The 11,155-nt window shown below is 47.2% G+C and overlaps 1 protein-coding gene across 2 annotated transcripts; it reads left to right on the top strand.

Moving 5' to 3' along the window:
- Nucleotides 1-35: 35 nt before the first annotated feature.
- CMTM2 (CKLF like MARVEL transmembrane domain containing 2) lies at nt 36-8,848 on the top strand. 2 transcript variants are annotated; one of them, NM_144673.3, is made up of 4 exons: nt 36-465; nt 599-757; nt 7,570-7,671; nt 8,492-8,848. In NM_144673.3, the coding sequence occupies exons 1-4, from the start codon at nt 181-183 to the stop codon at nt 8,690-8,692; spliced, it is 747 nt and encodes a 248-aa protein (NP_653274.1). In that variant the 5' UTR covers nt 36-180; the 3' UTR covers nt 8,693-8,848. The 2 variants fall into 2 exon arrangements, with proteins under 2 accessions (NP_653274.1, NP_001186246.1); NM_001199317.2 differs by lacking the exon at nt 599-757.
- The last annotated feature ends 2,307 nt before the right edge of the window (nt 8,849-11,155 follow it).

Genomic DNA, 11,155 nt, shown 5'->3' on the forward strand with positions numbered 1-11,155 from the left:
AGACGGGCGCGCGTGGAGAGGGCGCGGGAGTTGGCATTCGGTGGTCCTGGCAGTTAGCTGAGCACGCCCTCTGAGCCGCTCGGTGGACACCAGGCACTCTAGTAGGCCTGGCCTACCCAGAAACAGCAGGAGAGAGAAGAAACAGGCCAGCTGTGAGAAGCCAAGGACACCGAGTCAGTCATGGCACCTAAGGCGGCAAAGGGGGCCAAGCCAGAGCCAGCACCAGCTCCACCTCCACCCGGGGCCAAACCCGAGGAAGACAAGAAGGACGGTAAGGAGCCATCGGACAAACCTCAAAAGGCGGTGCAGGACCATAAGGAGCCATCGGACAAACCTCAAAAGGCGGTGCAGCCCAAGCACGAAGTGGGCACGAGGAGGGGGTGTCGCCGCTACCGGTGGGAATTAAAAGACAGCAATAAAGAGTTCTGGCTCTTGGGGCACGCTGAGATCAAGATTCGGAGTTTGGTGAGCTAAACTGGTATCCCTGGGTGGGGGGCCTTGGCCGAGGGTGGGGGGAAGGAGGAGTAGGCTCCAGGGGTCCTCAGAGAGATGGTGAAAGGCCCTTGCTGCTGGCTCAGGTGTCTATGTCTCACTGCAGGGCTGCCTAATAGCTGCAATGATACTGTTGTCCTCACTCACCGTGCACCCCATCTTGAGGCTTATCATCACCATGGAGATATCCTTCTTCAGCTTCTTCATCTTACTGTACAGCTTTGCCATTCATAGATACATACCCTTCATCCTGTGGCCCATTTCTGTAAGTAAGGGGTGATGGGGAGTGCCTGCATCCAGAATGCTGATCAGGTGTGTCTTGGCACCTGGAAAGTCACCAAACAGAGAGACACACCTCACCTCCCATATCTGTGCCTGGGTCAGGGACTCAGAACATCAGTGGGGCCCAGGCAGAGGCAGCTGGGTGCAAGAGGGGTAGCTAGGCAGAAAATGCTCCAAAAAGCCTATCTGTGTGTTGGAGTGAGAGTGGGGAACTCTTACTTACCTGGTGGTCAAAGAGGGCCTGAGCCTTTGTTCTCTTTAGGGGAAGGGGAGGTGTAGCAACCAGCTGTTCCTCCGAACTCCTGTGCCAGCTCACACTTGACAGGAGATCACCCCAGAAGGACCCCATTCCCAAAATTCAAAGAAGAAAATTACTCTCCCATAAGTCAATAAAATAAAACAAAATGGGAATTTTTTTTAAAAATCACTTCTAAAGCAGCGTTAGGTCTCCAGTGAATATCCCTATAAAGGATGTTTGGATCAGAAGGATGTTCAGCCCAAAGCAGTCATCTAGTGGAAAGAGACAGAACTGGGCAAGTTACTAAACCATTCCCAGCCTGTTTCCTCATCTGTAACATGAGACAGTCACATTCCTTGCAGAACTGACATTCAATCCTGAGGATTAAATGTAAATTGCTTGACACCGTGCCTGAGGACTCATGGAATTGAATCCCTGCCCATCACCTGTTTAACCACAGGGCACAACCACCTAACCCCTTGCCAGTCAATGAAGACCCCAATTCCCAAGTCCCTTTGTTCATTGCACATTCACAGCCTGCCTCCAGAGCCCTCTTGTTCACTGTTTCACTCACGTTACACATGAGGAAATTGGCCTAGAATGGCCAAGTAACTTGCCCCCAGGTCACTCAGCTGGTAAGTAGCAGAAAAAAGCTTCAAACTTAGCTTTATGAGTACATTTCATCCTGCCTTCTTGTTAAAAACTATTAGGGTCCAGGGATCCAGAGGTCTTGGTGAAGCAGATGAGGACCTCCGATACAGGGAGAAAGGACAGGAGGGCCAAATAAGGACTCTCAGAAAAGGGACAAGCAGAGGACAAGGTAAAAGGACAGGCAGAGGACAAGTTCCTAAACAAGGAGCCTGAGAAGACATTTTTAGTTCCAGCAAGATGAAAAACCAATGAACCCTGAACATCTTCCCACTGTGCTTACCTAAAAATACCAGGGGAAATGTAACCAGTATTGCTTTAACTGAATGAATGAGCTGGCAAAAAAGAAATGAAAACACACAGGCGCCAGAAATGGCAAACAGGGCAGTGATCACATAAGCTACAAAGTATGAGTGGGAATGGTCCAAGAGGTATTGTCTCAGGAACCTACAGCCTGGATTTTCATGCACTCTCAAGTCAGGAAATAAGGCCTTGATCCTAAGCAAAGTGGGAATTTAGAACTGAAAACCCTGTATAAAGCCAGCGCCCTGGAAAGACTACCTCCTTAGGGAAAAGATGGACAAAGACACATACCCTTCTTATTCCCAACACAGAGGAATAAGAAAACATGTTCATCTCTGCCTGAGCTTTGAGTGGGCGGAGAGGAAGTCTTCCTTGAGAAATAGAAAGCTTAAGCCTGCCCTTTGTACAGATTGGAGTTTGAATTTTTGTTATCTGCAGCCTAGAAACCTTCATGCAGCCCAGAAACCTTCATCCCTGGGAATTACCATAAAAACTGATCCCAGTCTGATGACATTCTGCTGATATCCTTGGACTCCTGATAGAAACAAATGCAAAATCACAATCAAGGCATGAAGAGATTCTCACAGTGGGGGTGGGGGGAAAACCTTGTCAAAAATGAACTAATAATTCAAAACTACTAAACACCTGATTTTAAAAAATCCCCATTACTAAGAATCAACAAACACAACAAATGGATTAGAATCCTGAGAATATGAGATAATAGAAGAGCTGTCTGAAAATAATAATATATTTTAAGGGATTATAGACATAAGAGTCCTGAGAAAAGAGTAAGACACTATGAGGACAAAATAGACAGATTTTTAAAAAGTACAGTGTCTAGAATAGAAAATATAGTTATTGAAATAAAAATGTCAATAGATGAATTCAAAAACAGATCAGACATAGCTGAAGGAGGGAACTGTTAACTGAAAGGTATGGGGAAATTACCCAGAACACAGCACACAGAGAGAGAGAAAATAAGAGATTGAGACAGAACAATGAGTGAGAACATCCATCAGTGGTTGTTGGGCTGGGTGTGGTGGCTCACACCTGTAATCCCAGCACGTTGGGAGGCTGAGGTGGATGGGTCCCTTTGGTCCAGGAGTTTGAGACCAGACTGGACAACATAGGGAGACCCTGTCTCTACAAAAAAATTTAAAAATTAGCCAAGCATGGTGGCACATGCCTGTTGTTCCAGCTACTCAGGAGGCTGAGGTGGGAGGATGGCTTGAACCCAGGAGGTCAAGGCTACAGAGAGCTCTGATGGTGCCACTGCACTCCAATCTGAGTGACAGAGTGAGACCCTGTCTAAAAAATAATAAAAGAGGTGTCAAGAAGCCAGGCACAGTGATGTGTGCCTGTAGTCCCAGCTTCTCAGGAGGCTGAGGCAGGAGAATGGCATGAACCCGGGAGGCAGAGCTTGCAGTGAGCCGAGATCGTGCCACTGCACTCCAGCCTGGGCGACAGAGTGAGACTCCATCTCAAAAAATAAATAAATAAAATAAAATAAAATAGACATCTATCCAAACCTGCACAAATTGTATTTTAGGTGACACTTCAGGAGCATTTCCTTAGAGATGCTTACTAGCTTCTCTTGTATTCAACATTGTGATAGAGACCTTAGTTCAATATGACAAGAAAAACAAAAGGTATAGAGATTGACAAGAGGAAAAATCTAATAGAATTATCTACACAGAAAATCTAAGAGAATCTACAGTCAAATCACTAGAACTGATTGAGTTCCACAAGGTTACCAGACACAAAAGCAGTAGTGTTCCTGAATACCAACAATGAACAATGAGAAACATAGGATTTTTTTGGCTGGGCACGGGGGCTCACAGCTGTACTCCCAGCACTTTGGGAGGCCGAGGTGGGTGGACCACTTGAGGCCAGGAGTTCCAGACCAGCCTGGCCAACATGGTGAAACACCAGCTCTACTAAAAATACAAAAATTAACCAGGCATGGAGGTGCATGCCTGTAATCCCAGCTACTCGAGAGGCTGAGGCATGAAAATCGCTAGAACCCAGGAGGCAGAGGTTGCCATGAGCCGAGATGGAGCCACTGCACTCCAGCCTGGGTGACAGAGCGAGACTGTCTCAAAAAAAAAAAAATGCTCTTTAAAAGAAATCACTTAAAACAGCAACACAAACTACAAGGTGTCTAAGAATAAACCTACTGAAAGATGTGTAAGACACTACATAGAGATTATAAGACTTTAGTAATGGACATCAAAGGAAAATGTAAATAGAGAAACATTCCACATTCACAAATATGAAAACTTATCATAGAGATGTCAATTCAATTCTGAATTAATCTATAAATTAAATAAAATTTCAACCTAACATGGGTTTTTCATGGCACTTTTACAAGGTGATTCTAAAATTCTTATCAAAGAAGAAAAAATACTAACAAGGATGGACTCACCCAACAAGATATCAGATTTACCATAAAGCTTTGGTACTAGCTCAGGGATTGACAAGAAGACTAACAAAATTGTTACAGATTGAATGTTTGTGTCTCCCACTCTGCAAAATCATACGTTGAGGCCCTAACCCCCACTGTACTGTACTTGAAGATGGGCCTCTAAGGAGGTAGTTAAGGTTAAATGAGGTCAGAACATTGGGGCCCTGATCAAATAAGTGTCTTTTGTTTGTTTGTTTTGAGACAGAGTTTTGCTCTTGTCACCCAGGCTAGAGTGCAGTGGCACAATCTCAGCTCACTGCAACTTCCACCTCCTGGTTCAAGCATTCTCCTGCCTCAGCCTCCTGAGTAGCTAGGATTACAGACATGCGCCACTAAGCCCGGCTAATTTTGTAATTTTGACTAGAGACAGCGTTTTGCCATGTTGGCCTAGCTGGTCTTGAACTCCTGACCTCAGGTGATCTGCCTGCCTTGGCCTCCCAAAGTGCTGTGATTACAGGTGTGAGCCACCACACCCAGCCAGTATCTTTATAAGAGAGCAGAGAATTCTCTCTCCCGCTTGCTCTCTCTCTACACACACACACATGCACACACATACACACGCACGCATCAAAGAAAGGCCATGTGAAAACGTAGTGAGAAGACAGCCATCTGCAAGCCAGGAAGAGAGCCCTCACCAGAAACTGAATTTCCTGGCACCTTGCTCATGGACTTCAGCCTCCAAAACTGCGAGAAAGTTAATGTCTGTTGTTTAAGCCACCCAGTCTGGGATATTTTATTATGGCATCCTGAGTAGACTAATACAGGGATAGAAAAGAGAACTCAGAAATAGATCTACAAACATATGGCAACTTGGTATATGACGGAGGTAGCATTATAGAACAGTTGAATAGAATATTCAATAAATGTCCCTGGGATTTGTGGACAGAGAGGAAGGGAGGGAGAGAGACAGACTATGTATCCCATTAAAATTAAAACTTCAACAGAAGACATCATAGGCCAGGTACAGTGGCTCACACCTATAATCCCGACACTTTGGGAGGCCAAGGCAGGAGGATCACTTGAGTCCAGGAGTCCAGGACTTGGAGACCAGCCTGGGCAACACAGGGAAGCCCTGCCTCTACAAAAACAATTTTTTTTTTTTTTTTTTTGAGATGGAGTTTTGCTCTTGTTGCCCAGGCTGGAGTGCAATGGCGCAATCTCGGCTCACCGCAACCTCTGCCTCCCGGGTTCAAGTGATTCTCCTGCCTCAGCCTCTTGAGTAGCTGGGATTACAGGCATGCACCCCCACGCCCAGCTAATTTTGTATTTTTAGTAGAGACGGGGTTTCTCCATGTTGGTCAGGCTGGTCTCGAACTCCCAACCTCAGGTGATCCGCCCGCCTCAGCCTCCCAAAGTGCTGGGATTACAGGCGTGAGCCACTGCGCCCAGCTTACAAAAACAATTTTTTTAATTGCACAGTGGCAGGTGCCTATAGTCCCAGCTGAGGCTGAGGTGGGGAGGATCACTTGAGCCCAGGAGTTCAAGACTGCAGTGAGTGGTAGAAACACCCTGTGTCTCATTTCGTTCATTCATATAGTAGGCTACATCAGTTAAAATTAATAAATCTATATTTCTCAATGTGGATAAATCTCAAAAGTCAAAAAGCAAGCATTGAAAGGTAGGATACTTTTTATTTAAATATAAAAAGTGTATTTTGAAATACACAAAATAGTATACATTGTTTATAAATATATAATATGTAGAAAAGCACAAATTCAGACAGGAAAACTGCACATCAGCTTCCAAAAGTTGGAGGAGGGAGGCATGAGGGACAGGAAAAGGGAAGGAAGCGAGGGGGCTGCAGCTCCATCCGTGAAGTTGGACTTCTTGTTTTCAAAGAGGCCTAAAGGGGACGTTGGCAAGACGTTAACATCTGTTAAATGTCAGTGGCTCCTGGCCTGGTGGAGGTGGGAGTCGGGGATAGGATGTTCTATTATTTTCTGGGCATTTGAAATGTATCAAAATTCAAAACATTAAAAAGGAAAAGGCCTGAAACAAAGTGGCCAGGAAAGGACAACAGCAGGAAATGGCACTATAGAAACCAAGGGGGATGGCAGGTGTCTTCCAGCGCTGCAGGATCAGCTGCTTCTCACCCCATCCTCTAGGCCCAGGAGAAATGCGGGAGGAAGCCAGCCTGCTATGGCCATGGTTTGGCCAGCTCTGAGAAGTTTGGCAATGCCTTGTCACTAGCAGGAGGGAAATGCGTATATGGTATGGGGAGGGCGAGACTGAAGTCACAGGGGATGGGCAGGAGGGTTGAGGAAGGAAGAGGTGGTGCTGCCTTGCAAAGAGGGGAAGGGGTCTAGGAAGTCAGGCCGAGGGCAGGGGGTTGCAGAAGAAGCTGCCAGGCTCCCAGTGAGATGCTAGAGTCCATCAGAGCCAGTGCAGCCCACCCAGACTCCAGAGAGGGGAGCTGGTCCTGGGAGCTGAAAGGCGGTGGTGGGGTCCTTAAGAGGGACATCATGACGTTTTATAGTTGTGTATTTATTTAAATGTGTATTGGCTGGGCGCTGTGGCCCACACCTGTAATCGTAGCACTTTGGGAGGCCGAGGAAGGCAGATCGCTTGAGTCCAGGAGTTCGAGACCAGCCTGGATAACATGGTGAAACCCCGTCTCTACTAAAAATACACACAAAAAAAAAATTAGGCAGGCTTGGTGGCACACACCTGTAGTCGCAGCTGCTCAGGAGGCAGAGGTGGGAGAATCACCTGAGCCTGAGGAGGTCGAGGCTGCAGTGAGCAGAAATTGTGCCACTGCACTCCAGCCTGCATAATCGGAGTAAGACCCTGTCTCAAAAAGTAGAAAATAAAAATAATAAATGAGTATTAGTGGGAGGAGACATAGGCAGAAACCAAATGTGTGATTTCACAGAGAGATGGTAGAAGAGGGGGCTGGTGACTTCACAGGCTTCAGCACGAGGGCATTTTAGCATCCTGGACTTTTTAGGTTTCAATTTAAAAAGCCCAGCTGGAGGGCCACAGATATGTCCACCTAGCCCGGTGTGTGTTTATCTTTATGCATACATTTTAAAATCAGGTGGAAATTTGCAAATCATTCCTTTGGAGGAAGCTAGCCAGGGTGCAGTGTTTGTTGATGGGGACCCTGGCTTTGGCTGAGGCTGACTAACCTCTCCACCTTCAGGACCTCTTCAACGACCTGATTGCTTGTGCGTTCCTTGTGGGAGCCGTGGTCTTTGCTGTGAGAAGTCGGCGATCCATGAATCTCCACTACTTACTTGCTGTGGTGAGTCTTTCCATGCTGGGCCTTGCATTTGCTCTGAATTCACTTCTTTTGGAGGATGGGTGTTGTCCTCTGTTTAAGGAAAGGGCTTCTTTATTTTCCACAAAAGTCTTGGGATCAAAGCAAAGTTTAAAAGTTAAGTAGGCCGGGTGCAGTGGTTCATGCCTATAATCCCAGCACTTTGGGAGGCCGAGGCGGGCGGATCACCTGAGGTCAGGAGTTTGAGACCAGCCTGGCCAACATGGTGAAATACAAAAACACAAAATTTACAAAATTTAGTAGAAAATGTATTTTCTACTAAAAATACAAAAATTAGCCAGGCATGGTGGCACATGCCTGTAATCCCAGCAACTTGGGAGGCTGAGGCAGGAGAATCGCTTAAATCCAGGAGGCAGAGGTTGCAGCGAGCAGAGATTGCAGCACTGCACTCCACCCCGGACGACGGAGCGAGACTTCGTCTCAAAGGAAAAAAAAAAAAAGTAAAGTAGACAGATGTTTCCAACGGAACCACCATTTAAATAAAGATGATGTCCGGGGAGCCAGCCCAAGTTCCTTCCTGTAGCTGCCGACCCCAGAGCAAACAGTCCCACTCTGGCTGGGTTTCAAGAGAGAAAAGAAACAGAGATGAGATGGCAGGACGGGGGAGTGGAGAAGGCAAAGGCTGAGGGAGTAGGCACGCTCCTAGCCTCTCAGAGATGGTTGACATTTGAGGGGACATGGGGGATGTGTGAAACAGCACCCCCTGATGAATGAGAAACCAGGAGGGAAACTCACCACCTTTGGAATGAAAAGCAAAAGTCATGAGGACCGTTTTGTTTTCCAGATCCTTATTGGTGCGGCTGGAGTTTTTGCTTTTATCGATGTGTGTCTTCAAAGAAACCACTTCAGAGGCAAGAAGGCCAAAAAGCATATGCTGGTTCCTCCTCCAGGAAAGGAAAAAGGACCCCAGCAGGGCAAGGGACCAGAACCCGCCAAGCCACCAGAACCTGGCAAGCCACCAGGGCCAGCAAAGGGAAAGAAATGACTTGGAGGAGGCTCCTGGTGTCTGAAACGGCAGTGTATTTTACAGCAATATGTTTCCACTCTCTTCCTTGTCTTCTTTCTGGAATGGTTTTCTTTTCCATTTTCATTACCACCTTTGCTTGGAAAAGAATGGATTAATGGATTCTAAAAGCCTAAAGTTGATGTAAGCATTATTTTGTTCATTCAGCAAAAGTTACTGACTGTCAGGGTGCAGAGGGCGAGGCCAGGGCAGGGCCTGGGAGCCAAGGCTCCTGAAGTGCTCCCAGGCTACTGGGCACCAAGGGCCTGGGGGACCAGAAGTGTAGGTGTTGCCGGCTAGTGGCCCCAACCAACTGGCAGGGGGCAGGGGGCCAGGGCATGGGGGGCAGAGGAAGACAAGAAACCAGAAAACAAAAGGATCATTTTGTTCACACTGATTATTTTAATTTTACTTTTTTAAAAAAGCATCCAAGCAATTGTTATGAGAAAAATAAGTTTGTTGGCCTTCCTTGCAGTTTAGTTTTTAGGTTGGTTTTGTTTTGTTTTGTTTTGTTTTGTTTTTGTTTTTTGGTGAGACAGAGTTTCACTCTTGTTACCCAGGCTGGAGTGCAACGGTGTGATCTCGGCTCACTGCAACCTCTACCTCCCAGGTTCAAGCAATTCTCCTGCCTCAGCCTCCTTGAGTAGCTGGTATTACAGGCATCTGCCACCACACCTGGCTAATTTTCTGTATCTCTCATACAGATAGGGTTTTACCATGTTGGCCAGGCTGGTCTCGAACTCCTGACCTCAGGTGATCCACCCGCCTCAGCCTCCCAGGGTGCCAGGATTACAGGCGTGAGCCACCATGCCTGGCCTGCAATTTAGTATTGATCCTCACTGAGGTTCACTCCGGTCGAAGTGAGGAGGGCAGGGGGTGTCAACTTCTCAGGGCTCAGGGCCTCCAAGGGCCTGAGTCAGGCTGGCATATGGGCTGAGCAGGGTGGGCACAGGAGGAGTCTAGGGGCTGTTTCCCTCTGGGACCTGGAGTGTCTCCCTCCACTGACAACCTGAGCATAAGGCCTGGAGTCCCCACATGTAGGCCTTGCAGATCTTTCCACCAGAGAAGGCTCTGCTCTCACTGGACAGTCCAGCCATCCTGGCAGGGGAAGGGTTGTCTCCATGAGAGGAAAGCCAGGCCCCAAACTGACCCATGAGGAGCTTGGAAGGGGGTCTGTAGGAGGAAGCATGGAGCCCCGAGCCCAGCCTGGGAGACAAGCTGGGAGGGTTCACTGAGCCTTGGGGACATGATCATGACTTGGGCCAAGGCGATCACTGAAGGCTGTGAGAAGGCCATGTGCTTAGCTGCTGCCGCAAAGGTGTGCCGGAGGAAGGAGGCCCCTGCAGGTCCTTCAGGTGGGGAGACGGGCAGCTGGTGGCCTCTAGGGGTGAAGCCTTGGAACTTGGGGTGGCCCCAGGCTCCTCTACACTTCAAGTCCACTGTCCCCTCTGTAGCCTCACAGCATCCCCTGCAGGCCAGGCAGTGTGAGGCACACCTACCTCTAGCTTTGTAGAGAAAAACTCAAAAATGCACGCTAACCTGCCACATGACCCAGAATTCTTCTCCTGTATATTTAGCCAAGATTAATGGTATACTAGAATGTTCATAACAGCCAAAAACTAGAAAGAGCCACATGTTCAAAAGGAGGTAAATGTGCTACATTCAGAAAACGGAATGCACTACTCAGCAGTAAAAAAAAAAAAAAAAAAAAAAAAAAAAAAAAACTATGAATACAACAACAAGGAAGGATTTCACATAATAGAAACATACCATATGATTCCATTTCTAAGCAGTTCAAGAATAGGCAAAAATACAGTGAAAGAAAACAGTGGTTGCTTGGGGATTGATTATGTAACCCAAAAAGTATCAGACACAGGCCACAATTGATTTAGAAGTTTATTTTGGCCAGGTCCAGTGGCTCATGCCTGTAATCTCAGCACTTTGGGAGGCCGAGGTGGGCAGATCGCTTGGGCCCAGGAGTTTGAGACCAGCCTGTACAACATGGCGAAACCCCGTCTCTACTAAAAATACAAAAATTCACCGGGCGTGGTGGCACGCACCTGTAGTCCCAGCTACTCTGGGGGCTGAGGCAGAAGAATCGCTTGAACCCTGGAGGTGGAGGTTGCAGTGAGCTGAGATCGCGCCACTTGCACTCCAGCCTGGGCGACAGAGCAAGACTCTGTCTCAAAAAAAAAAAAAAAAAAAAAAGTGCCACAGTTAAGGACAATGCCTCAGAAACAGGTCTGTGCCTTTCTCCAAATCATCCAAATGTGATTTTGAGGGCTTCAACATTTAAAGGGAAAAGCGGGCTGAAAGGGAAAGAGAAAGTGTGTAGTCACGTTACTGAAACCACAAGTTGCAAGAGAAAAGGAGCAGGTAGGGGAACAGCGAGTGATGCCTTCTTCTGGCGCTCAGTAAATTGGCATTTGACATAAGATGAACATA

The sequence above is a fragment of the Homo sapiens genome, chromosome 16 (genome assembly GCF_000001405.40).
Source record: "Homo sapiens chromosome 16, GRCh38.p14 Primary Assembly".
NCBI lineage: Eukaryota > Metazoa > Chordata > Mammalia > Primates > Hominidae > Homo > Homo sapiens.

Bases quoted from the DNA above. Each gene is read 5' to 3' on its own strand.
- CMTM2 (NM_144673.3), top strand. From the start codon at position 181: ATGGCACCTAAGGCGGCAAAGGGGGCCAAGCCAGAGCCAGCACCAGCT. The intron at 758-7,569 runs GTAAGTAAGGGG...CTCCACCTTCAG, and splicing joins TCATCCTGTGGCCCATTTCT to GACCTCTTCAACGACCTGAT. The intron at 7,672-8,491 runs GTGAGTCTTTCC...TTTGTTTTCCAG, and splicing joins TCCACTACTTACTTGCTGTG to ATCCTTATTGGTGCGGCTGG.